This window comes from Homo sapiens, chromosome 2 (genome assembly GCF_000001405.40).
Source record: "Homo sapiens chromosome 2, GRCh38.p14 Primary Assembly".
Classification (NCBI taxonomy): Eukaryota; Metazoa; Chordata; class Mammalia; order Primates; family Hominidae; genus Homo; species Homo sapiens.
Window position 1 is genome coordinate 216,076,200 of NC_000002.12, and position 27,083 is coordinate 216,103,282.

A 27,083-nucleotide genomic window follows, 5' to 3' on the forward strand; every position below is an offset into this window, starting at 1 on the left:
TCTTTTCTTTTGAGATGGAATCTCACTCTGTCACCCAGGCCAGATTGCAGTGGCGTGATCTCGGCTCACTGCAACCTCCGCCTTCAGAGTTCAAGCAATTCTCATGTGTCAGCCTCCCAAGTAGCTGGGACTACAAGCATGTGCCATGCCACCACATGTGCCACAATGTTTGGAAACAGAGTCAAGCAAAGATTTTCATGCAAGGATGTAGTCTTGAGAAGTGAAAAAATGGAAATTACCTAAAAATTCAATATGAGGGAAATAGTTAAATCAATAACAATGAAATATACATGCTTCCATTTAAATATCTTGCTATTGTTCCTGGTGCAGTGGCTCACGCCTGTAATTCCAGCACTTTGGGAGGCCGAGGCCGGCAGATAACTTGAGGTCAGGAGTTCGAGACCAGCCTGGCCAACATAGTAAAACTCCATCTCTACTAAAAACACAAAAATTAGCCAGGCATGGTGGCACACACCTGTAGTCCCAGCTACGTGGCAGGCTGAGGCACAAGAATCACTTGAACCTGGGAGGCAGAGGTTGCAGTGAGCTGCTGTCAAGCCACTGCACTCCAGCCTGGGCAACAAAGCAAGATTCCATCTCAATAAATAAATAAATATCTTGCTATTGAAGACTTACTTGGAGAAATGCATACCATATTATTGGGAAAAATAGAATTCTAAACCTAACAGCATTCCAATTTTACTTTTTTTTTTTTTTTTGAGATGGAGTTTCGCTCTTGTTGCCCAGGCTGGAGTGCAATGGCACCATCTCAGCTCACTGCAACCTCTGCCTCCCGGGTTCAGCGATTCTCCTGCCTCAGCCTCCGAGTAATTGGGATTACACGCACGCACCACCTCGCCTGGCTAATTTTGTATTTTTAGTAGAGATGGGGTTTCTATATGTTGGTCAGGCTGATCTCGAACTCCCAACCTCAGGTGGCCGCCCACCTCGGCCTCCCAAAGTGCTGGGATTACAGGCATGAGCCACCGCGCCTGGCCCAATTTTACTTTTAATAAAAAATATTTGCCGGGGTGCCGAGGCTCACGCCTGTAATCCCAGCACTTTGGGAGGCCAAGGCAGGCGGAGCACAAGGTCAAGAGATCGAGACCATCCTGGCTAACACGGTGAAACCCCCGTCTCTACTAAAAATACAAAAACTTAGCCGGGTGTGGTGGTGGGTGCCTGTAGTCCCAGCTACTAGGGAGGCTGAGGCAGGAGAATGGCTTGAACCCGGGAGGCGGAGCTTGCAGTGAGCCAAGATCGCGCCACCGCACTCCAGCCTGGGTGACAGAGCAAGACCTCCATCTCAAAAAAAAATACATGCAGGGCCGGGTGCAGTGGCTCACGCCTGTAATCCCAGCACTTTGGGAGGCTGAGGCGGGCAGAGCACAAGGTCAAGAGTTCGAGACTAGCCTGGGCAAACATGGTGAAACCTTGTCTCTACTAAGAATACAAAAATTAGCCAGGCATGGTGGCATGTGCCTGTAATCCCAGCTACTCAGGAGGCTGAGGCAGAAGAATCGCTTGAACCTGGGAGGCAGAGGTTGCAGTGAGCCAAGATCGTGCCACTGTACTCCAGCCTGGGCTACAGAGCAAGACTCCGTCTCAAAAAAAAAAAAAAAAAAAATATGGATTATACATGCAAAAATGGACTGGAAGGAAGTTTGTAAGATTTTTAGCCATTTTTCTGAAAATAATGTTAATTATGAGTAATTAAAATTGTCTTCGTCTTTTAAATATTTTTTAATGAACATCTAAATTATCTTTGGTTACCATCTGGCATAGTATGAAGTAAAAAAGAAAACACCTGTATTTTTCGTTAAAAAAAAAAAAAAGCAAAAATATCATCATTTTAAAAACCATGCCTCAAAGTTCATGCCAAAAAGACATAGTTCACACCAAAAAACCAAAACCAAAAACAAAAAACAGTGGCCTTCTGACTAGAAAGAAAACTGGAGGCTAGGCGCGGGGCCTCCATGCCTGTAATCCTAGCACTTAGGGAGGCTGAGGCGGGCAGATCACTGGAGGTCCGAGTTCAAGACCAGCCTGGCCAACATGCCAAAACCCCATCTCTAGTAAAAATATGACAATGTCGTGGAAATAGCCATTGATTCTGGCATAAAAAAATAAAGAGGAAAAAGTAATTATAAAAATGATTTTTATGGCCAGGCCCGGTGGCTCACAGCACTTTGGGAGGTCAAGGGGGATGGATCATAAGGTCAGGAGTTCAAGACCAGCCTGGCCAACGTGGTAAAACCCCGTCTCTATTAAAAATACTGCTCAGGAGGCTGAGGCAGAGAATTGCTTGAACCTGGGAGGTGGAGGTTGCAGTGAGCCGAGATTGCGCCACTGTACTCCAGCCTGGGCGACAGAGCGAAACTCCATCTCAAAAAAAAAAAAAAAGAAAAAGATTTTTAATATTCTTTCACTGAAGGAAATCCATTTCCAATACAACAAAATAATTGTGTATATATATTTTTAAGTATATGATGTCTTTTTCTCAAAAGACACGCCACCACTTTCATCAGAATCTCAGACAGATTCATGTCTTCCAAAAGATTACAAGACCAATGTCCTAATGTTTTAGTTTGTGGTAAGAAAAATATAGTCTATCACCTTATTCCAGGGGTGTAGTTTTTGGCCAATGCATATTTATGCAACAGGATGAAAGTTCAAATAGCACACTTATGCAACAGGATGAAAGTTCAAATAGCACACTTATGCAACAGGATGAAAGTTCAAATACATAAAAATCTATTAAAAATCCTTCAAAGTGGACTAGGGTCCTACGAATCTGCTGAGAAGCCTAGTATCTGACCTATGCATGAATTGATAACTGATTCTGATTTTCTTACAGATATTCCTGAAAGAGGATAGAGCTTGGTGTTGAGAATAAACTGGGCAGTAATGGTGATGAGGTTACATCATGGCCTTACTAGGAAATGTTTTTGCTTTTTTTTTTTTTTTTAACTAAAAACATAGATTTTTTTTTTTTAGTTCATACTGTGCCAGATGTTGGAAACACAGTCGTAACCAAAGATAATTTAGATGTTCATTAAAAAATATTTAAAAGACGAAGACAATTTTAATTACTCATAATTAACATTATTTTCAGAAAAATGGCTAAAAATCTTATAAACTTCCTTCCAGTCCATTTTTGCATATGTAATACTTTTTTTTTTTTTTGATACTGAGTCTTGCTCTGTCGCCCAGGCTGGAGTGCAGCGGCACGATCTTGGCTCACTGAAACCTCTGCCTCCCGGGTTCACGCCATTCTCCTGCCTCAGCCTCCTGAGTAGCTGGGATTACAGGCACACGCCACCATGCCTGGCTAATTTTTGTATTCTTAGTAGAGACGAGGTTTCACCATGTTTTCCCAGGCTAGTCTCGAACTCTTGACCTTGTGCTCTGCCCGCCTCGGCCTCCCAAAGTGCTGGGATTACAGGCATGAGCCACCGTGCCCGGCCCTGCATGTATATATTTTATTAAAAGTAAAATTGGGCCGGGCACGGTGGCTTACGCCTGTAATCCCAGTACTTTGGGAGGCCGAGGCGGGCGGATCACCTGAGGTCGGGAGTTGGAGACCAGCCTGACCAACATATAGAAACCCCATCTCTACTAAAAATACAAAATTAGCCTAGCAAGGTAGTGCGTGCCTGTAATCCCAACTACTCGGGAGGCTGAGGCAGGAGAATCGCTTGAACCCAGGAGGCGGAGGTTGCAGTGAGCCAAGATGGCGCCACTGCACTCCAGCCTGGGCAACAAGAGCGAAACTCCATCTCAAAAAAAAAAAAAAAGTAAAATTGGAATGCTATTAGGTTTAGAATTCTACTTTTCCCAATAATATGGTATGCATTTCTCCAAGTAAGTCTTCAATAGCAAGATATTTATTTATTTATTGAGATGGAATCTCGCTCTGTTGCCCAGGCTGGAGTGCAGTGGCTTGACGTCAGCTCATTGCAACCTCTGCCTCCCAGGTTCAAGCGATTCTTGCGCCTCAACCTCCCAAGTAGCTGGGACTACAGGTGTACGCCACCATGCCTGGTTTGTATTTTTAGTAGAAATGGAGTTTCACCATGTTGGCCAGGCTGGTCTCAAACTCCTGACCTCAGGTTATCTGCCCGCCTCGGCCTCTCAAAGTGCTGGAATTACAGGCGTGAGCCACTGCGCCAGGACCAATAGCAAGATATTTAAACGGAAGCATTATATTTCATTGTTATTGATTTAACTATTTTCCTTATATTGGATTTTTAGGTAATTTCCATTTTTTCACTACTCAAGACTACATCCTTGCATGAAAATCTTTGCTTGACTCCGTTTCCTTAAATTCCTGAAAAAGGAATTACTGTCATAGAGCATAAACATTGTGAAGGTTTTTGGATCTTTTTTTCCAAATTGCCTTCCAGAAAGTTTGTAATAATTTACATTCCTGCCTTCTCATTCCTGCATCAACACTTTAATTTTTCCCAACATTTCAAAATTTTGTTAGAAAAGTTAAATCTTACTGTTTCATATTTTATTACCAATAAAGTTGATTATTTTTTCATATGTTTCTTGCCTGTCTGTAGTTCTTCTTTTGGAACGCTTAGTCCATACCATTAGTCTAATTTTTCTATCAGTGTGTTGGATTTTTTCTTTATTTGTAAGAGCTCTTTATGTATAAGGCTGTTGGCCGAATCTAGTGGCTCAGCCTGTAATCCCAAAACTTTAGGACTCAGAGGCAAGGCAGGAGGATCCCTTGAACCCAGGTGTTCGAGACCAGCGTAGGCAACAGAGTGAGACCCTATCTCAAAACCAACAAACAATTTATCTTATGTTGCAAATATTTTTCTTCATATGCCTTTAAACTTTATATATTTTTTTAATTCAATGAGGATTTACACTTTCATACAGGTAGATTGATTTATGTTCTCCTTTGTGGTTTATTCCCTCACTTATGTGTTTACAAAGGCCTTCCTTCACCCAAGTTAAGGTAAATATTCAGCATATTTCCTTGCTGTGGTTAAGAGATGTGAGAAGATACTATGAGAGACTCACTATGTTCACAACTTTTTCCAGTTAAATGAAGTCTTCCCACGTTTCCTAATCACTCACATTAAGCATATAGAATGGATTAATTTTAAATCTGAATATAAAACTAATTGCACAGCATGTTTCACTGCTCTTCTTACTGCCTACCTGGGGCACAGTCTCTTTGGCCTGAGTGGTCTCTTCAGTTTTTAACGAGTGGCTCCACAATTCCTTAGGAAGAGCTGCTCTCTTCTGTCTCCCTGGTGGTCGTAATTTCGCCCACACCTGCCCCGTCTTTGCTCTGCAGCTCCACACTCCCTCAGCCCCGCCGAGAGCTCCTGGCTCCCGTCTCCAGGTTACCCCAGGTCACCACAGCCACCTCTCTGCACCAGCGGCCCGCTCACGTACCCAGCTCCAGGAGCTCCTTCACGATGGCTTTTCCGATGCCCGTGGCCCCGCCGGTGACGATGGCCACTTGGCCCTGCAGCAAACCAGGCGCCAGGTAGCTCCTGCCCTTAGCCCAGGAGGCCATCCCTGCAGCGGGGTGCCAGAGCAGCTGAGCGCAGGCCCTTCTGGGTCTCAGGGACATTCGAGGCGGGCGGGCGGACAGGGCGGTGCTCGAGCCCACGTGACCACCAGAACCCCGCACCCTCCCCGGCCCGGCCCCGCCCCGCCCGCCGGCCGCGGCAAAGCCGCATCCTCCCGGAGCAGAACCGCTCCCCGCCGGCTGTCCGCAACCTCCGCCAGCGTCGGTCCCTGGGCAGGTGTGGGTGAGACTGCTCGTTCGTTTCTTTAAATTTCGATGCCATTGGGGAGGGTGGAAGGGAAATGCAAAAAAAAAAAAAGAAGAAGAAAGAAACAAGCAGGGTGTGCTCTATTTCAAAAATTCAATCCTCAGGGCTGAAGCTCTCACGATTAATTAAAATTAAATCTCCAGTGCAGCTGGAAAAAGAAAGGCTGCTGCTCGGCGCCCTCGCTGCGCCCGCCTGCCGGGGTCGGACGTCGGCGATGCTGTGGCTCCAGGTGCTGTGTGCCGCTGGCTGGGAAGGGGAGAAAGGGCAGGCTTAGCTGAGGGGGAGAAATGCGGCTTTCAGATCCTTTCATCCTTCGGGAGGGAGCCCGGGAAAGAGAGTGAAGGGGAAGAGGAGATGCGGTTGCAGTTTTCCACAGAACCAAGAGAATAAACGATTTGAAAAAATAAACTCAGGCCCACCTCCGTCTCACCTCCCACTCCCCACCCAAGAATCAAGGGGAAAGATCATCTTTACCAGGTTTGAGACCTGATCCATTTCAGCTGAGCTGCATAGCGAGTCCAGAAGAGGATCTTTCCTTGAAGGGTGCACGCTTCCTGCAAGATGCATCTGTAGGTGTTTGAGATCATGTCCTGTAGTTCATTCCTTGTGCAGGAGGGTGAGCCCGCTGAGGATGGGGAAAATTTCTCGTCTGTGTTATGGTGCCCAGTAACAGTGATTTATTATTCAGATCTGCTCCTTATTTTTCATCTTGCTTCCCGCTCTGAACCCACCAGAGTGAGATTACACCTGGACTGGCCTACTGAGACTTCACCCTAAGAACTTGGTCGAATGTGCCAGTTGCTGTGGTCTTAACAATCCAGATGGGATGCTATTTCTAAGGCTGTTGTCAGAGTGTTGCATTTTCCCCGGACAGGTATTAAAATAATATAAAGGCAAATAAATGCCATCATCCTTTTGTTGGACCTACCACCTAGGATTCACAAAGCCAATTGGAAATGGGTCTGGTTGACAGAGGAATCAGACCATCACTTCCTCCACCAGGTCCCACCCACCAGCGAGGCTGCAGTTCTTGTTGGACAGCTACACTTCCCTGTTGCTCCATCCTCTTGTCCTTCTCTGATCTCTTTTTAGAATCACTTCTCCCTCTATCTTTGTTGCTGACAGATTCAAATCTACACTCGTTAAAGAAAGGAATAAATCTCCTGGTTACCATTTGCTAGATAGTTTATCCAGGAATCACTTAACTCTACTACTTAAGTCAATTCTGTAGTTAGGACCAAATTTTTAAAATTACAACGCCATCACCTCCTTTAAAACAAAGTAAATTCAAACAGGAAAGCTCAAAGTGTTGTTGCAGAAACATATAACTCCTCTTGGTTTGATCCCAATGACAAGGTGTTTTTTTTTAAGGAAAAGAAATATTGATTCAGTTCTGAGGGGTATCTTATTCAAGAGAAGTCCAGACTTTCTTTCTTGTGGGTGGGGACACTTTAAATTCTTTTAAATGATAACTTTATTGAAGATATAACTTAACATGATTTATGCCCTGGTCTGGACCTATAGATTCTTAGAGGTGTGCCAGGGTGGGTCAGTGGGAAGCTGGCTGTGCTGCAGCTTCCGTGTGGCTGCTGAGCGGACTGAGAGTGGGATTCTGATGTCTTCCAGTGAAACAGGGACTGGGGCCTGCAAACCGGTTATGCCTACTGAGGATGACAAGGTGCCATTCCTCAGCTGCAAGGAAGTTGCAGGATGAACAGTCAGAAGGCGATTTTTCATGATCCAGGCAGAACCTGCAATTAAGAGAGCTTTGGGGTCTCTTCAAGCGATCTTTTGTTTAAAATTAGGAGGCATGATCTCTTTGCCTCTGCCTCTGACCTCTGTCAGGGTTTGAAAGTCCACTAATCCGCTAAGTTCCAGGCCAAAAGGCCTGGAAGCAGAGCAATAGATCTGCTGCTTGGAAGCTCTTTGTTTTGAAATTTTAGTTCTGCCTCTGGTTGAGGCATCTCTTCCGAAGGCAACCACGCCATGCTGCACTGACCACTCCTTTGGTTGAATCAAATGCTGCTCTTCCCTGTGCTCTGCGTCACTGCCCTCTTTGTCCTGGGGAAAAAGGCATTCCTGTGGCCAAGGTCCTCCCACACCCCCGAACCTCTCCCCACAGCTCTGTCATACCCCATTAGCAATGACTGCCTTCAGCTTCCCACCCCTCCCCCACCCCATCTGCCTGGTAACTTTATTTTCTCCCCTCTGCAAAGCAGCTGCTAGCTCAGACTGACAGGGGCTTGTGGGATTCTCGACATTTAGACTCCCAGAATCTCAGTGCTGAGAGAATGTCAGTGAAGCATCTGGTCCTGCCCCTACCTTGAAGCAAAACTACCTAGCAATTGTGCCATAACAAGGCATATAAAGGAGCTTATTGATGTCTTTTTATTAAACTTCTCCTTAGTCTCAGGCTTTCACAAAAAATAAGCTACTCCTGAGTTGCTACCACTTCACCCAGTCACTTAAAAAGATTTATCGAGCATCTATTTGTTGGCCTACTTCTATGGTACCACTTCATAGGGCTTGAAGTCTAGTAGAAGAGCTATGCAATAAATAAGTAAAAGAAAAATAAATAATGACAAATGTTGGTAAGCCTTACACAGGAAACAAGCTGTTGTGATAAAGAATAATGAGAGGCAGAGCAGGGAGTCAAGTTTTTAGTTCGGGTGTCAAGAAGGGCTCAGAGGAGGAAACATTTGAACAAGGACTCAAAAAAACAAAAACGGGCACAGGAAGAGGCGGGGTGGAGCAGCAGAGCAGCAAGATAGACAGCAGTTAAGAAGACCTCAAGCATTTGGAAGCATTTGGTGCTCTTGAGGAAGAAATACACAGCCAGTGTGATTGGAGCATAGTACCCCTACTATGGTGGTACAGATGGGGTGGCAGGATGGGGAGGTCCTTAGGCCACATGGACTTCCACATGTATAACAGTAGGAAGTTACAGGAGGATTTTAAGCAGAAAACAGCCTGATTTTCTTTTTTATTTTTATTTATTTATTTGACATGGAGTCTGGCTCTGTATCCCAGGCTGGAGTGCAGTGGCAGCGATCTCGGCTCACTGCAGCCTCTGCCTCCCAGGTTCAAACAATTCTCCTGCCTCAGCCTTCCGAGAAGCTGAGACGACAGGTGCGCGCTGCCACGCCTGACCATCTGATTTTCTTTATGTTTTAAAAAGATGTTTCTGGCTGGGTGGCTCATGCCTGGAATCCCAGCACTTTGGGAGGTGAAACCCCATCTCTACTAAAAATACAAAAATTAGCCGGGTGTGGTGGCACACGCCTGTAATCTCATCTACTCGGTAGGAGAATCAGGTGGGGGAGGTGGGGGTTGCAGGAAGCTGAGATTGTGCCACTGCAGTCCAGCCTGGGTGACAGAGTGAGACTCTGTCTCAAAAAATTAAAAAAATTAAGTAAAAGATGTTGCTTACTGCTGAGTGAGGAATTGATTGGAAGGCAGCAAGAGTGGAAGCTGGAAGATAGGAGCATTTTTTTTAGAACCACAGTTAAGAGACAGTGGCCTCCTAGACCAGAGGGGAAGCAGTGGAGATGGGAAAGTTGGGTGGATGAATTTAAGAATTATCTGGGCCGGGAGCAGTGGCTCACGCCTGTAATCCCAGCACTTTGGGAGGCCAAGGCGGGCGGATCACCTGAGGTTGGGAGTTCGAGACCAGCCTGACCAACATGGAGAAACCCCTTCTCTACTAAAAAATACAAAATTAACTGGGCATGGTTGTGCATGCCTGTAATCCCAGCTTCTCAGAAGGCTGAGGCAGGAGAATCGCTTAAACCCAGGAGGCAGAAGTTGTGGTGAGCTGAGATCACGCCATTGCACTCCAGCCAAGGCAACAAGAGTGAAACTCCATCTCAAAAAAAAAAAACAAAAACAAAAAAAGAATTATCTGGATAATTTTTTTCAAGAGTGGCTTAAAAGCAGTTATTCTAAGCACGAGTTCCAGAGTATGAGCATGTTCTTAAAAACCTGTTTTCCCTCCTACAATGACCAAGAGTACAGAGCTAATGGTTGATTGAAGCTAACACTCTGTAATATCACATTTGTAAGAATCTTTTTTTTTTTCTGAGGCAGAGTCTCACTCTGTTGCCCCGGCTGGAGTGCGGTGGTGTGATCTTGGCTCACTGCAACCTCTGCCTCCCGGGTTCAAGCGATTCTCCTACCTCAGCCTCCGGAGTAGCTGAGATTACAGGTGTGTGCCACCATGCCTGGCTAATTTTTGTATTTTTAGTAGAGGGGGTTTCACCATGTTGGCCAAGTTGGTCTCAAACTCCTGATCTCAAGTGATCCACCTGCCTCGGCCTCCCTAAGTGCTGGAATTACAGGCATGAGCCACCGTGACCAGCCTGTTAATAATCTTTAGACTGGAAGTGGAAGTGGAAGATGGGCACAGCTTAACTGCCAGAGAAAAGAACAAAGTCCTCTCTCTTCTCTCAAGTCTATTGATTAAAGCCTTGGAAATTGGGTAAAATTTTCTTTTAACCTCTCTCTTGTGAAATCTAAAAGGAAGGAGAAATGTTTAGAACCTGCTTCTCAGATCAAATACTTACAGCATAATAAAGTATACAAAAATGGGGAAGAGAATCAAGCCTTTCTTTCTTAACAGTTGTTTATGTCATATTTCTGGTAAGACATTTTCTCTTCTGTGTCCTATGAAGTCAACAAGTACATACTGACTTTGTACTACATGTCCAGCCCTGGGGTTTTCCCATTGGTGGTTAAGAAGAAGAGTAAGACAGTTCCTAAACTCTAGAAGTTTGTTATCTACCTAGAAAGATGAATGAAAACTCATGATGCCATCTATAATCTATACAATGATATGAAATGCTGCATAATTAAGTATTAAGTGTATGGTTCAGATGGCAAATGCTATTAAATTACAAATAGAAGGAGGCAAAAGAAAGGGAATAGAAACTAATATTTATGAAGTGTCAGTCACATATTAGGCATTTTATACTGGGCCATTCATTGAATTCTCACCACACACCTGCAACACAGGGTTAGGGTGGGAGGAGAGGACGTGGGGGCTGGGGTAGTCACAGAAGGGGACGTGAGCGAATGAGTCTGTCTTGAGCCAGGCTTGAAAGATGTGGAGAAGCGTGACAAAGATGAAGAAACCAACATAAGCACATGTGTTGAGTAGTCACGTTGCAGGAAAGGGAAGGGGAAAATTGCTACTGAATCCTAGGGTGGGGTGCAAATACGGAGAGCCTCAAACACCAGACAGGCCTTCAGATATATTTTAGTCAGTAATGGCAAGACAAAATAAAAATATTGTTTTGTTTTGTTTATTAATCACCATTAATATGGTAAAAAATGGTAGAGGAATGTCTTCCATTTTAGAATGTCTTCCAGTTTAGAGGAAGTAGTATGAAGGCTGTATTCTGGCATATGGTGGTAGTAGAAATTCAAATGAACAAATTAACAAAAAGATTTCATAGGAATGACTAGCAGGACTTAGAGACTAATTATTATTAGGTATATGGAAATATGTCCTTAATATAGGAAATGGGTTCATCAAAGAACATTCTAGAAGTTTATAGATCTTTGCATAAATGTTGGCGGGTAGTATGGCACAATGAAAATAACATGGGCTTTGAAATTAGCAAACCTGGGTGTCAGTTCCAGTCCCACCACTATACTAGCTATGTAAGCTTGAGCAAATTTCTCCTCTAAATGGGAATAATAAAGGTACCTACTTCACTGGTTTGCTGTGAATATTGAACAATACGATTATTGTAAAGTACTTAGAGCAGCACTTGGCACACAATAAACATCCAATAAGTTTCTGTTGTTACTATTATTCAGTCCAAGTGTCCTCTTCTGCAAAATAATACTTGCTTCATAAAATTGTTGTACCTAGGCTGGTATGGTGGCTCACACCTGTAATCCCAGCACTTTGGGAGGCCGAGGCAGATGGATCACTTGAGGTCAGGAGTTGGAGACTAGCCTGGCCAACATGGTGAAACCCTGTCTGTACTAAAAGTACAAAAATTAATTGCACATGGTGGTGTATGCCTGTGGTCCCAGCTACTCAGGAGGCAGAGGCACGAAAATCGCTTGAACCTGGAGGCTGAGGTTGCAGTGAGCTGACATTGCACAACTGCACTCCAGCCTGGGTGACCAAGCGAGACTCTGTCTCAAAAAAAAAAAAAACAAACAGGCCGGGTGCAGTGGCTCACGCCTGTAATCCCAGCACTTTGGGAGACCGAGGCGGGCAGATCACAAGGTCAGGAGATCGAGACCATCCTGGCTAACACGGTGAAACCCCGTCTCTACTAAAAAAGAAATACAAAAAATTAGCCGGGCGTGGTGGTGGGCGCCTGTAGTCCCAGCTACTCAAGAGGCTGAGGCAGGAGAATGGCGTGAACCCGGGAGGCGGAGCTTGCAGTGGGCTGAGATCACGCCACTACACTCCAGCTTGGGCGACAGAGCGAGACTCCGTCTCAAAACAAACAAACAAACAGACAAAAATTGTTGTACCTAGAACAACTATGCAATATATAGCACATAGTGTTGCTTAATAAATATTTACTGAAGCTGGGCACAGTTGCACATGACTGTAGTCCCAGCTACTCAGGAGGCTGAGGTGAGAGGATTGCTTGAGCCTAGGAGTTCAAGTCAAGCCTGGGCAACATAGAAAGACCCCATCTCTAAAAATAAATGAATACGTAAATATTTTTTGAATGTGTAATTCAGTGAGATAATGCATGTACTGTATAATCAACACAGAACCTACCAAATTACACAATCGGTAAATTCCATAAATGTTGTGGTGTTTCCTTCTTTATCCCTTTCTCCTTTCCTTTCCCCCTTCTCCTTTTTTCTCGGTAACACTGAGAGGTTCTCTGCTGTAAATAAAGATGAGTTTGGTTTGAACATGCTTTGCTAAATAATTCAATTAGAAAATATTCGCCAGGCTATTGGAGATACAATCTTGAGATCTACATTTGGGCGTTCTTGGCATAGAAGTGGTCCTACAGCTGTGTGCAGGAAGGCTGTATATTTTAACAAGAGGAACAGAGTGTGCTGTTGAGAATAGAGGACAATGAATTAAGAATCGGGCCTAGAAAACACTGGCAATTATGGGTTGGAGAAAGCAGATAAGGGAGCAAAAGAAACAGAAGGAAGGTTTGAGAGGTAAAAGAGAATGAGAGTAGAAAGTTAAAGGAGGTGAGGGAAGGTTCAAGAAAGATTTGGGAATTAGTGGAATCAACAGCTTTGGTGTGACAAGGAGAATAAGAATGGTGAAGTGGTCACTGTGATCACATCAGGGACTTTCAAGACTGTTTCTCACCAAAATGAGTGGATCTGTCATCAAATGAAGGAGAAATAGGGTTTTGGACAGCAAACAACAGAACCAAAAAACCAAAAACCATCAGCTGTTCACTGCAGCTACTACCACTTGACTACTTCTATTTTTAATTTTCATTTTATTTTATTTTACTGATTTTATTTTTGAGACAGAGTCTCACTCTCTCGCCCAGACTGGATGCAGTGGCACGATCTCAGCTCACTGCAACCTCCACCTCCCAGGTTCAAGCGATTCTCCTGCCTCAGCCTCCTGAGTAGCTGGGATTACAGGCGTGCACAACCACGCCAAGCTACTTGTATTTTTAGTAGAGACAGGGTTTCACCATGTTGGCCAGGCTGGTCTTGAATTCCTGACCTCAAGTGATCCGCCCATCTTGCCCTTCCAAAATGCTGGGATTACGGGCATGAGCCACCACACCTGGCCTTGACTTCTTCTAAATCTTGGTGGGGAAATCCTGGACTTTAGAGTTATGCAAGTATAGAATTAAACCCAAGTTCTCTCACTGCTATATTTAACGCATTGAACCTAATAGGTCAAGTGTGGAAAATAAGACCTACCTGTCAAGCTTGTTGAGAGATGCAAGTAAGAGAACATCTATAAAGAGTTTACCTTACAGCCTGACACATAAGGCTCAATAAATGCTAATTTCCTGGCCTATTTCTCATCTTTGCAAGTGACTTGCGCGTGTGCGTGCGTGCATGTGTGTGTGTCTGTGTGTGTACAGAGGTTGGGAGTGGGGAGAAAGGGCAGAAGATTGCAGGATGAACTGGATATGAGTGGCTATAAACTATTTGATAGAAAAGCTTGGTTGGAGAAAAATGAGATTATCAGAGAGAGTAAAGTGGCAAGGTAAAGTTATTTTTTTCTAGATAAGGAACTCTGAGTTTGAAGGCAAAGGGGAAAGAGCCAGTAGAAGGAAGTTGGAGCTATTGGAGAAGGAGGAAATCAAAGATGAGGAAGAGATGGGGATCAAGAGTCAAGTTGGGGTGGTCAAAGAAAATACCTGTTTTCAGACCACTCATGCTGGGGAAGGCCAGCCACTGTTGTAAGGACACTCAGATGGCCCATGGAGAGGCCCATGTGGAGAGAAACTGAGTCAGCATTACATGAGTGAACCATCTTGGAAGCAGATCTAGCCTCATTCAAGCCTTCAGATGACTGCAGCCCTGACATCTTTAGAGATCTTGAAACAAAACCAGCTAAGCCACTCTCACACTTCTGACTCAGAGAAACTATTTATAGGAATCCCACAGAAATGTTGAGAAAATTCTATTCACAGAATACTAAAAGGTTCAGAAACCATAAAAACAAAAAAACACTTTTGGACCTCCAAATTCTATAGGCAGGAAGCAGGTAGAGAAGACTACTCACCACCCAGCTAAGGCACTCCCAGTTTATTGACGCACATAATTGTGTGAGATAATAACTTTTTTATTGTTTTAAACCTTTACTTCTTGGGTAATTTGTTACATCACAACAGATAATTCATATTCTTGTACTGTGACATCTGATATATTCCAGACTTGCAGGAAACTAACAGTAAAAAGGATCCCCAAATTTAGGAAAACACTGTTTTTACAGTAGCCTTGATAACAAGTAGCCACCAGAACTAGTTTTAAACATGTTCAATCAACAACTGCCTAAGTGAATACATTTTTGAAAGCCATCATCAGAGTGCCAGACCCTGATTGGCCAAAAGTCAACTCACACTAGTGTGAAAGTCAGCCAAACAGGGACAGAGCCACTCACCTGATTGACTTTCAGAAACAAAGGACTGACTGGATGGGTTAATTTCCAAAAACATGTTTGCTGAGTGTTATGGTATGGTTTGTTTTCCCCCCAAATCCATATGTTGAAATTTCAGCCCCCAAAGTGATGGCATTAGGTGAGGCTTTATGTCATGACGGTGGAGTCCTCAGGAATGGGATTAGTGCCCCCATAAAAGAGACCCAGAGGCTAGGCTCAGTGGCTCACACCTGTAATCCCAGCACTTTGGAAGGCCAAGGCGGGCGGATCATGAGTTTGAGAGCAGCCTGGCCAATATGGCGAAACCCCATCTCTACTAAAAATACAAAAATTAGCTGGGCATGGTGGCGTGTGCCTGTAGTCCCAGCTAATTGGGAGGCTGAGGCAGGAGAATTGCTTGAACTTGGGAGGCAGAGGTTGCAGTGAGCCAAGATTGCGCCACTGCACTCCAGCCTATGCGACAGAGTGAGACTCCATCTCAAAAAAAAAAAAAAAAAAAAAAAGAGAGAGACCCAGAGAGCTAGTCAGCTCCTTCAGCCACGTGAAAACACAGTGAGAAGGCACCATCTATGAACCAGAAAGTGAGTCCTACCAAACCCCTAAACTTGATCTTGGATTTTTTGCTCCCAGAACTGTACAAAATAAATTCTTGTTGTTTATAAGCTACCTAGTCTATGGTATTTTCTTATGGCAGCCCAAATGCACTAAGACACTGAGGGAGATTGTTGTTGATCAATTGAACAGGTTTAAAACTGGTTCTATTGTCTACTTACCATGACTACAAAATAACCCATCTTTTCCTAAGTTTGTGGGAATGTTTTGTAGTCTCAAAGGATAGTGTTCTAATTGTAGGGAGATGAGGAAATCATGTTTCAAGGTAAATCAAGGACAGTGTCTCTGTCCTGTGACTACTGTAAGTAGACATTGGCTGGGCACCTTTCTAAAATGAGCTGTGCCTGAAGCAAAAATAGCCCCCCTAAGGTGAATAGCCAGGAGCTCACCCTTTACATTTCATATTTCTTGTCTAAGGTTTTAATGGGATGTTCAAAAGTCATCTCTCTTTTTGCCTCTGATAGGATTGTCCCTCTCCTCCATCAGCCAACAAGATGACCATGTTTATCTTTTATATCCCCAAGAGACTCCAAAGCTTCTCTTAGCTACTATTTTCTGTACTAGTCTGTCCCTGGGCTCAGGAAGCTCTTCCTGTTATCTAACATTGGCCTCTCCCATTGTGCCCAACCAAATCAAGAGTGTCGAACACTACACCTTTTTATGTTTTTTTTTAATTAAATTAATTCTTTTTTTGAGTGATTCGCCCGCCTTGATCTCCCAAAGTGCTGGGATTACAGGCATGAGCCACCGCACTTGGCCACTTTTTAATGTTTATAAGGCCCATTAATAAGGGTCATCATCTCCATGCATGTGTTCACTTTGCCCTGCCACATCTTCCTAGAGCACCACCCCCTCAACAAAGAGAGAGGAAAAGGGAACAAGAAGTATGAGATTTGCAACTTGCCTTCTCACGTGTACTCTTTAACATTTCTGTCTCCCTTCTGAACATCTTGGTACATCTTTAAAGAAGGAGTAAGGAGTACAGAACATAAACCTTCTCCCAGCTCTGAAGCTCTGGTCCTTTAATCTCCTCGGGGTCTCAACCCCTAGTTTGAAAATTCATGCTGTATAGAAGGGCCAAAGAAGGCCCTTCACAAGCTGCCTCAGAAAACAACAGAGAGAAACAGATGATCTAAGTAGGAAAACACGGTGGATTAGGGTGGCCTCCCAAGCTGTGATCATTGCACCTTCAAGTAAGTACAAAGTGGTTTGTTCAGAGGTCATTCCTACCATAGAATTACCATGATGCAGCTTTCTGAGTGTCAGTGTATAAGAGGACTTGGACCAGGGAAAACATTTTTGTATTAAACATAGACACTTAGAGAGTAGAATTACAAATGTATGTATATACACATTTGTATATAAATATACATATGTATAAGTACATATATAGATATACATATATATGTATATCCTGGAACTTAACGTAATAATGAAGTGTGTGTGTGTGTGTGTGTGTGTGTGTGTGTGTGTGTATACATATAAAATCTTCACCTGGGGGTGGATTGCATTCAGCCTCCCCATTCAGTTTCCTCTGGGTAGAGGTCCACTGTCCTCTGTGTAGAAGCCACTTTGGTAGAAGAGCCCTGGTCAAGCTCATCAATGCCCAAGGCCTGCTCAGCATTCTAATGGTTGGATTAATTGTCCTCTGGAGCTATTTACCTTGGGAGGGCTCTCTCCCCTGCTTCTTCCTGTGTACATCCTTGTACTTTTAGACACCTCAGCCAAATGAATCTCCTGGTCCAGAAAGCTCCATGGATAAGAATTTAAAGATAATGGCTTTCATTCTGCCCCTAGTACACCCCCTAGACAAAGTCAGGCAGTGAGGACGTAGTGAAACCTGCCCATTTCATCCTGTGGATCCTACCACTAAGATTCTCAATTGTGTCGCTGGGTGCCTGATTTATTCCAGGCATTGGGTTAAGTGCCCAGTTATAAAGTTAATTTAGATCCAACATCTGCCAATCCAATGGAAAGACAAAGAAAATCAACAGAGGCTAGAGGAAATACTGGGTGAGAGGGCAGCAGAGGAGAACTCCCCTGCCTGGAGGGGGAGAAAAAGCCATTCCATTGAGCTTAAAATTTACCTAAATTTTAGAAACATTGAAATGAGAAAAAAAAATATGTATTCTGGCATTTTAAGAGATATGCTATACAGTACTTCCTGTCACATGGTAATTACCAAAGATATATAAATTTGCTTCAAAATGAATGGAGCCTAGTGGAATTCTAGAGCCTAGTGGAATTTTTGCTTCTTTCTTCTCTCCACTGCCCCACTCCCATCCACTGGGCCAGAACACTAGACATTGGGAACATTTGAATACACATGAGAGAAGAAGCTTTATTATTGGAAATAAAGGGATGGCAAATGGTGTACATGTGGCAGTAAAATAAGGCTCAGAGAGCACTGAAATACAGTGAGGGATTTGGGAGTTGGGAACAAAAGTAACAGCCAGTAACCTGGAGTTGCTGAAGAGTGTACAGCCTCGAGGAGTGTGGGGCGGCAGGGTTGTGAGTAGAAGCTTGCGATTCTGAATAATATGCACAGTTATTTGAAAAGTGGGGAATTTTTTGGTAAATCGCTTGGAAACTTTTTATATCCATAGCGGGTACCACTATAGTTCATAAGTTATTTTTCACAGTATAAATGCCAATAATATTGCATAACAGCAGGACCATTTGCCTCTTTCACTAGGATTAAAACTGGGTATGTTAAAAGTGCATGAGAGTATTCTAGCTAATAAATGAAGAAGTCAGAGAAATGGAATATCATTTTGTAACCCCCATGATTTAATGGGTATAGTCAATGGCCATTAACGGGCTGTTAACTTCACAAAAAGAGTCAACCAGACATTAGGGGACTTCTAATGGAAGTACAAACACCACCTCTAAAATTGTCCTGCCAAACAAAACAAACCATCAACCAAAAAAATTTCAATGTGAAATTGATCAAGACTTTCTATTTAGCTATCAACTCATAACACAGAGTTCAGAGGAACACACTGTGGGGATGCAATCAGCAAAACCCAGGCTATGAGAATCTGCAAGATAAATGACCCGCTTTCTTTAACAAATAAGTTACCAGGAAAAAAAAATGAAGGACAGATATACAGACCTGCACTGTCCAGAACAGAAAGTGGAGAGACACTGTTATTTTAAGGGGGAAAGTGAAGCCTCTCCACCGCTCTTGCAGCACGTGATAGGACACATCCCAGTAACTTTTTGAGATTGTGGGCTGACAAGAAGCCAGGAGACAGATTTCCTTTACAGAATAGCAAGGTAGACACAGTTGGTGAGGTTGTACCATTTGAGTGGCTTGCTTAATGTTGTATTTATCCATTTGAGTATAGTTTTAATGTATGATTCAATAGCCAGAAGTCTGGAATACTGGTCCCAGCCACCTATGGTTCTTTTTTCTTTCTTTTTTTTTTTTTTGACAGAGTCTCGCTCCGTCACCCAGGCTGGAGTGCAGTGGTACAATCTCAGCTCACCAGGCTCAAGCAATTTTCCTGCCTCAGCCTCCTAAGTAGCTGGGATTACAGGCACCCACCACTACAACCAGCTAATTTTTGTATTTTTAGTAGAGATGGGGTTTTGCCATGTTGGCCAGGCTGGTCTCAAACTCCTGACCTCAGGTGATCCACCCGCCTCGGCCTCTCAAAGTGCTGGGATTATATGCGTGAACCACTGTGCCCAGCCTACCTGTGGTTCTTAACTCTCACCTACTGGTAAGGCTTCCTCACCCAACTTCCTTATACTCTGCATGCTCCAACTAGAGGCTGATTTATACACAAAAATCGGTAACACAAGCAGACTATGCTAACTACTTATGTATATAAAATAAAGAAACAATAATTGTTGACTTTCATATGAATAAGGAAAATGCAAATTATGACAACAATGAGATATAGTATTCCTTCACATGGGTTTTGCCAAATATTATATGTTTGTATAAATGACAAAAATATTACTGTAGCAAAAGTTTATTCACTGTCTATTATAAGAGATTTAGATTGCATTCCCAAAATAAAGTATTGCAAGAAGTAAAGGGAGAGGAAGGCTTCTGCTAAGTTGAGGATCGTTTCCCACATTCCTGTCCATCTCACCCCATTTGCTTCCTGTTGATGGCTTTGCTTTCCTATCTTTCAGGTGGAATGCATCCTTGGGACATCTTTGCATAGCCCCATCTAGGAAGAAGTTCTGTGATGTGTGAACTGTGAGTTTACTCAAACAAGTCCAACTCTTTATAAGACATAGGTAGACGTCAGGTCTGGAATGGAAGAGCCAACAGCAGTAGAAGGCCAGGTCCAGCTTCCAAGCCCCCACCAGGGCTCTCTCAGGAAGGCTGTGGCTGCTGCCCTGGCGCTGGATGGGGAATCCACAATGGGGCACAGGAAAAAGAAGAGGAAAGAGTCACGCCCAGAATCCATCATCATCTACCGCTCAGACAATGAGAAAACAGATGAGGAGCCCGGAGAATCAGAAGGTGGAGATCAGCCTAAAGAGGAGGAGGGAGATGATTTCCTAGACTATCCTGTGGATGATGGTAAGTCTCTCTAGCCCACTTGTTTAAAGCCATGGGAAGGAAACCAAAAGGGCATCTTCCAGAACAGACAGGCATATGCTCACTGTCCTATTTCTTCTTGGTGATACATTTCTTCTTGCAATATTACCACCTTTTATTTATTTATTTTGAGACAGAGTCTTGTTCTGTCACCCAGGCTGGAGTGCAGTGGCATGATGTCGCCTCACTGCAACTTCCACCTTCTGGGTTCAAGTGACTTTCCTGCCTCAGCCTCCTGAGTAGCTGGGACTACAGGCATGTGCCACCATGCCGGGCTAGTTTTTGTATTTTTAGTAGAGACTGGGTTTCACCATGTTGTCCAGGTTGGTCTCGAACTCCTGGCCTCAAGTGATCCACCTGCCTCAGCCTCCCAAAGTGCTGGGATTATAGGCATGAGCCACTGACCTGGTGCAATATTACAGTCTTCATTCAACAAATGGTCAGTATTTACTGAGCACCTATTACATTTTTTTCTAGATGATACAGAAATCTCCACCCTTTCAGAATTCCTAATGAAATGGAAGAGGCTGATTTATACGCAAAAACTGGTAACACAAGCAGACTATGCTAACTACTTAATGTATGTAAAATAAACAATAATTGTTGACTTTCATATGAATAAAGAAAATTATGAGAAAATTTGCCAGAAGAAAATCATATGGCAAATTATGACAACAATGAGATATAGTATTCCTTCACATGTAGGCTTGCCAAAAATTGGGTAAAATGTGATTACATCAATATGAGCAAATGGATATACTTCATGCACCTTAGTGAAAGTGGAAGCCGCTTCAACCACTTTGTGGAGGAAACTTGTCAACGTTTATTAAATATTTAGTAAAATTCACAGTTCAAAACATGCATACCTCATGACCCAGAAATTCTCAATATCTACTCCATGAAACTTATGCCCATGTTATCCTTGTATAAGGAGGCATATATAAGAACATTTGTTGAAGCTAATGCAACCATGATGTGTTTGTATTAAGAATTATTGTGGAGGCTGGGCACGGTGGCTCACACCTATAATCCCAGCACTTTGTGAGGCCAAGGCAGGCAGATCACGTGGGGTCAGGACTTTGAGACCAACAACAGGAGTTTGAGACTGGCCAACATGGTGAAACCCCGTCTCTACTAAAAATACAAAAATTAGCAGGGTGTGCTGGGGCATGCCTGAGGTCCCAGCTACTTCAAAGGCCGAGGCACAAGAATTGCTTTAACCTGGGAGGTGGAGAATCTGTGTTTCTAGAATGCAGAGGTTGCAGCAAGTCGAAATCCTGCCACTGCACTCCAGCCTGGGTGACAGAGCAAGACAACATCTCGAAAAAATAATAATAATTATTATTATTGTGCAGCCGTAGAGAGATGAGGCAGATCTATTTGTGTAGATGGATAGATCTCTAAGACATATGCTCACAGTGAACAAGATAAGCAATTTCTCTGCTCTCCTGCAGTTGACCTTCAGGGAAAGACAGATAGTGAACAAGTCAACAAATAAAAGATACTTTCAGGTAGTAGTATGAGTTCTAAAGATGACAAAACCATGCTGATGGGAAGATGAGTACTGGTGGAGGGTGGAAGGTGGTGGGGGAGAGACTGCATGGTTGTGAAAGGCTTCTCTGAGGAGGTGACATTTGAATTGATCCAAATGACATGAGGGAGCCACCATGAAAAGTTCTAGGGCAGAGTTTTTGGAGGAGGTGGAACAGCAAGGGCAAAGCCTCTGAGGTGAGAGCAGCTTTGGCCCATTTATGGAAAGGAGTTATTTCAGTGTAGGGAGTGTAGGAGATAAGAGGGAGGATGGTGAGAGGAGGACAGGAAGGTAGGCAGAGGCTGGATCATGGTGGCCCTTGCAGGTCTCGGTAAAGAGTTTGATATTTGTTTCAAGTGCAAGAGGAAGTCAATGGAGGACTTTTAAGCAAAGAGACATCATCTTGTTTATATTTGTAAAAGATCACTCTGGCTTCTCTATAAAGAATGAATTATAAGGGTTAAGACTGGATGCTGATGGGAGACTATTGTGTCCCTGCAGCCTCAGTAGCACTAATGGAGAAGTTCGGGTGATAGCAGGAGAAAGCTGGAGAAGAGAAGCTGGATTCAGGATGCAATCTGAACTTGCTGATTGATCAGAGGCAGGGAGTGAGGGAAAGAGAGGAATCAATAATGACTCCTGGGTGATTGACTGGAATGACAGGGAGGATAGATGGTGGTGGTGTTTGCTGTGATGAAGACTGTGAAAAGACAGGGCTTGGGAGACTGCACATTCCTTTTCTCTGGGTAAACAGAGTCCCTGCCACTATCCAGGGCCCTGCTCTTTAGGTGGCTTCATCTTATCTCTCAGTTGTGGGGCAAGGAGTCCACAGGGCCCAAGGTCCATGCCTGCCTAAAGGCTGTATTTTCCCATCCCCACCCAGACTTCTAGGGTGGCCAGCAGATAGCTATTTGGTTCTGTGTGGGTGCGTTGTGTGTGTGTGTGTGTGTGTATGTGTGGTGTGCGGTGTGGGTGTGGTGTATGTGGGGGTGTGTGCGCTGTTTGTGTGTGTCGTATGGTGTGTGTGTGTAATGTGTGGTGTGTGTGTGGATAGGCGTGGGTGGTATGGTATGGGGGAGTATATGGTGTACGTATGTGTGCGTGGTATGTATGTGGTATGTGTAGTGTGGTATGTATGGGTATGTGGTGTGTGTGTAGAATGTGTATATATGTGGTGTGTGCATACGGCATGTGGGTGGGTATGTGTAGTGTATATATGTGGAATGTGTGGGGGGCAGCATTTGTGTGCATGTATGCTGTGTGTATGTGTGGTGTGTGTGATGTGTATGTGTGTGTGTGGTGTGTTATGTGTGTATGTTGCATGTATGTGTGATATGTATGGGTATGTGGTGTGTATATGGTATGTGTATGTGTTGTATGTGGTATGTGTGGGGAGGTTGTGTGTGGCATGTGTGTGGTGTATGTGTTATGTATGGTGTTTGGTATATGTGGTGTGGGTATGTGGTGTGTATGTGGTATGTGTGATGTGCATGGTGTGTGGTGTGTGGTGTGTGTATGGGATAGTGTAGTGTGTGTATGTGGTACGTGATTGGGAGGTGGCATGTGTATGTGTGTGTATGGTGTGTATGTAGTATGTGAGAGGGTGTATGTGTATGGTATATGTGGGATGCATGTGTGTATGCGTGCAGCCCCTGGATGTGAGGGCTGGATCAGGCATGTGAGGGGCCCCCTCTCAGAAAGCACAGAACTAGGCATGAGAAGGGAAGGTGGTGGCCGTCCATCAGTCCAGTATCTTCACAGCACTTGTTACCTAGAAATAGGATCATCATTTGCATCATGTCTGTATCAAAGTTCGTCACACTCCTCCGTGCCACAGAGATTGTGCCAAGATTGAGGCCCCAAAAAGCGGAGAGAGTAGGTGAAAAGCTTAACCTGCCTCACAATTTTATCAGGGCCCAGGCACAAGGACTGAGAGTTCATGTGGGAGCAATAACACCAGTGGTCACTCTCCCGAGGGAGACCCACTCAGTCCGCCATTGAATCACTGACTCAGGACTGTGCCAGATGGTGTAAAAAAGGCTACTCTTGTCCTCATGCCCAGCCTGGGAGGGTGCAACATGGAGATGCAATGCCCACTCTTCTGATCTTGACTCTCACCTCCTTTGTACCCTGCAGATATGTGGAACCTGCCTCTGGACAGCCGCTACGTCACCTTAACTGGGACCATCACACGAGGGAAGAAAAAGGGTCAGATGGTGGACATCCATGTCACATTGACAGAGAAAGAGCTGCAGGAACTGACCAAACCTAAAGAGTCATCAAGGGAAACGACGCCTGAAGGAAGAATGGCCTGCCAGATGGGAGCTGACCGTGGGCCCCATGTGGTCCTCTGGACGCTGATCTGCCTGCCTGTGGTTTTCATCCTTTCTTTTGTTGTCTCTTTCTACTACGGCACTATCACCTGGTACAACATCTTCCTCGTGTATAATGAGGAAAGGACCTTCTGGCACAAGATCTCGTATTGCCCTTGCCTCGTTCTCTTCTATCCAGTGCTCATCATGGCCATGGCTTCTTCCCTCGGCCTCTACGCTGCTGTGGTCCAGCTCTCGTGGTCCTGGGAAGCATGGTGGCAAGCTGCCCGGGACATGGAGAAAGGCTTCTGTGGCTGGCTCTGCAGCAAGCTGGGTCTGGAGGACTGTTCTCCCTACAGCATTGTGGAGTTGCTTGAATCCGACAATATCTCAAGCACTCTCTCCAACAAGGACCCCATCCAAGAAGTAGAAACCTCCACGGTCTAAACTCCCAACAACTTACTCCCTCCTCTGGCCCCAGTAGCCTATATATCATCTTAAAATTCCAGCAGATTATTTCTTTAAATTACCCCCTACTCTCCGCAGTTCTTCTGGGAAATCAGAGTCCATACTGATCAGTTTTACCATCTTGAGGGTTCCAGGAGGGCATGGAGCAGACAAGCAATTGTGCCAAAGCAGTTCACCCAATGGACAAACTCTTTTTGATTCCCTGCCCTAAAATCACCATTTATTTAGGACAATGGAACTCTGCTGTGTGTCGTTTTGGGAGCCTGGAAGTGTTACTGGTGCCTGGAACTGAGGGGAGTATGTGACTAAATGTGTCAGGGAGAATAAAGAACCTCGGGGTAACCAAATCCACCAAGATAATAGACAGGGATGGAGTGAGACATTTAGGAAGCTGGACTACCACAGTGTAGCAGAAGGTAAAGATTTGTGTGTATCATTTAGATTTAGATTTAGCTGCATAGAATTAAAACCCTAAAATATCAGTGGCTTAAACAAGATAGAAGTGTATTTCTTTCTTGTGCAGAAGAAGTCTGGAGGCAGACCATCCTGGGACCCTGTGAAGTAATCCAGGTCCCAGGCTTCTTCTATTTCTCTACCATTAGTAGGATGTGACCCTTCTCACCCTTATCCCCAACATCCCAGTGCTGATTACATCTTCAGCCATCACATCCATGTTTCTGATAAAATAGAGGAAAGGGCAGAGAAGCACACACCCTTCCTGTTCAAGGAGACTTCCCAGAAGTCCCACTCGATTCTTCTTATATCTCATTGGCAAGACCTCAGTCACATGATGTCATGAGCAAAAGAGGCTGGAAATGTAGTTGTTTGGCTGGGTAGCTATATTCTCAGCTAAATACTGGGTTCACGCTAATTGGCAAGAAAAAGGAAGAATGGTTATTTGGGTTTTGTTTTGTTTTGTTTTGTTTCGCTTTAGAGACGGAGTCTCACTCTGTTGCCGAGGCTGGAGTGCAGTGGCACTATCTCGGCTCACTGCAACCTTCGCCTCCTGGGTTCAAGCAATTCTTGTGCCTTGGCCTCCCCAGTAGCTGGGATTACAGGTGCGTGCCACCATACCCGGCTAATTTTTGTATTTTTTTTTTAGTAGAGATGGGGTTTCACCATGTGCCCAGGCTGGTCTTGAACTCCTGACCTCAGGTGATCCGCCTGCCTCGGCCTCCCAAAATGCTGGGATTGTAGGCAAGAATGGTTATCTTGGTAGGCAAGTCAGAATCTTTGCCTCACAATGATCATTTAAATACATTCAGAACCCCCAAACTGCTAATATGGTTTTATTTATTTATTTATTCATTCATTTGTTTATTCATTTATTTATTTAGGCCTGAATCTTACACAGAGAATTTATATATAGATATTAGCTACATATACTTTGAATATGCTATACATCGATATTAGCACCTCACGTACTTTGCAATTAAGCTTCTGTAATGTCATGTGATTTGTTTTTGGAAAGGAATAGTGGACAGGAGAGTACAATTTATAATAGTAGCATAACTCTTTGTCCTGGTGGTGGAGGTGGGACGAGGTGGTGATATTTAACCTAGATTAAAGACCAGGAAGGGAGGAATTGCATCTGCCAAAGTTTCCTCCAACAGCGATCAGTAGCCCTAAGTACAAAGAAGCCAGATTTAGCCTTCTGTTGTTTGGCAAAACCTCACTCAGAGCTTTACTCCCTCAGACCTTTCTGAGTTTAACCACAGACATGATCTTTGCTGTGCTGAGAAACTTGTGTCTACCTGGCCTGTAGGGAGTGTAAACTAGATTAATACAGATTAACAGACTCTGAACTTAAAAAAAAAAATCACTCCTAAGGGTGTCCTTCTAATTTCAAAATATCAACTCCTAAGAGGTCAGCAGAATTTGGAGATTTGGGTCCTTATAAGAATAGCTGGTGCTCTTTTCTTGTTCATGTCTCAAAACAAAGCTGTTGAGAGAACTGCTGCGATGAATCAAACCAGAGGAGTTTGTCATGCTCCCCACAGAGAGCCCAGGACATTTGCCTGATGTATGGTGCTGAGCTCCACCTTCAGAGGAACTCTCTCTTTTTTTTTTTTTTAAATAACTATTATTAGCTTGACAAGAAAAAAAAAGTGCCCAACAGTTTTAGTGTTAATCTTGGTGCTCTATGGTGCATTAGCAGAGATATGAACAATTAAATGAAGACAAAGAAAATAAAAATAAAGTCTGATTAACTTTTGCTCATTTTGTCTTTGAGGCTCTTCAAAATTGCTTTGAATGCTATGGTTTGCAGAAAAAGGGTGAGCATGATGGCTGTCCTATATGTATGTAATGATTTTAATATGAATCCTTGTGTCTGGACTCTTTCCATGCTTCACTAATTTTGGGGAATTCTATTTAGGTGGACTGTTTTCACAAACCACACTAGAAACTTGCAACCACATTTGTCCCATTTTTCTGGGGTTGGGGAAACCAATGGGAAAAGCCAAAAAGTTGTGATTAGGACACAGGTAAAGTGGCTGTGGTGCCATGGAAGAGTGTGGGATGATGATGAGATCATACCCAAGAGATACCTAGATAAAGTTGACATGGCCTTCATCCTAGTTGGGCTCATCATCTAGTGGAAGAAATAGGCTTGTAAATTAAAACCATTTCAAAGGGGTTCTATAGAGGTATGTAAAAGCCTAGACTAGAGGAAGGAAAAACAGAACCAAACAGAACCAAAGCATCTCATTTTTGCTCT

General features: G+C 43.9%; 2 protein-coding genes across 11 annotated transcripts in view, besides 4 other annotated features; one reads left to right on the top strand and one right to left on the bottom strand.

Annotated features, from left to right (window-relative positions):
• Positions 1-5,610, bottom strand: part of PECR (peroxisomal trans-2-enoyl-CoA reductase) — a 52,722-nt gene extending 47,112 nt beyond the window's left edge. For all 6 annotated transcript variants that reach the window (XR_007078553.1, XR_007078552.1, XR_001738847.3 and 3 more), the window contains exon 1: positions 5,419-5,610. Coding sequence is in view for 3 of the 6 variants with exons in the window: in XM_047445107.1 (XP_047301063.1) it covers positions 5,419-5,599 (181 nt within the window). In the remaining 3 variants the exon portion in view is untranslated. The remainder of the gene's footprint in view (positions 1-5,418) is intronic.
• Positions 5,212-5,291: an enhancer, noted in NCBI's record as "active region_17086". NCBI's record gives its function as "activates an Ori minimal core promoter by ATAC-STARR-seq in GM12878 lymphoblastoid cells {active_cell/tissue: GM12878}" and the evidence as "EXISTENCE:reporter gene assay evidence [ECO:0000049][PMID:35858748]".
• Positions 5,322-5,371: an enhancer, noted in NCBI's record as "active region_17087". NCBI's record gives its function as "activates an Ori minimal core promoter by ATAC-STARR-seq in GM12878 lymphoblastoid cells {active_cell/tissue: GM12878}" and the evidence as "EXISTENCE:reporter gene assay evidence [ECO:0000049][PMID:35858748]".
• Positions 5,562-5,821: a silencer, noted in NCBI's record as "silent region_12303". NCBI's record gives its function as "represses an Ori minimal core promoter by ATAC-STARR-seq in GM12878 lymphoblastoid cells {active_cell/tissue: GM12878}" and the evidence as "EXISTENCE:reporter gene assay evidence [ECO:0000049][PMID:35858748]".
• On the top strand, positions 5,720-26,584 carry TMEM169 (transmembrane protein 169). 5 transcript variants are annotated; one of them, NM_001142310.2, is made up of 4 exons: positions 5,720-5,780; positions 5,948-6,033; positions 19,639-20,035; positions 23,721-26,584. In NM_001142310.2, exons 3-4 carry the CDS (start codon positions 19,765-19,767, stop codon positions 24,341-24,343), a joined length of 894 nt encoding a protein of 297 aa, NP_001135782.1. In that variant the 5' UTR covers positions 5,720-5,780; positions 5,948-6,033; positions 19,639-19,764; the 3' UTR covers positions 24,344-26,584. The 5 variants fall into 5 exon arrangements, with proteins under 5 accessions (NP_001135782.1, XP_011510475.1, NP_001135783.1 ...); XM_011512173.3 differs by having other exon boundaries at positions 5,720-6,373; NM_001142311.2 differs by lacking the exon at positions 5,948-6,033.
• Positions 8,496-8,565: an enhancer, noted in NCBI's record as "active region_17088". NCBI's record gives its function as "activates an Ori minimal core promoter by ATAC-STARR-seq in GM12878 lymphoblastoid cells {active_cell/tissue: GM12878}" and the evidence as "EXISTENCE:reporter gene assay evidence [ECO:0000049][PMID:35858748]".
• Positions 26,585-27,083: the final 499 nt, after the last annotated feature.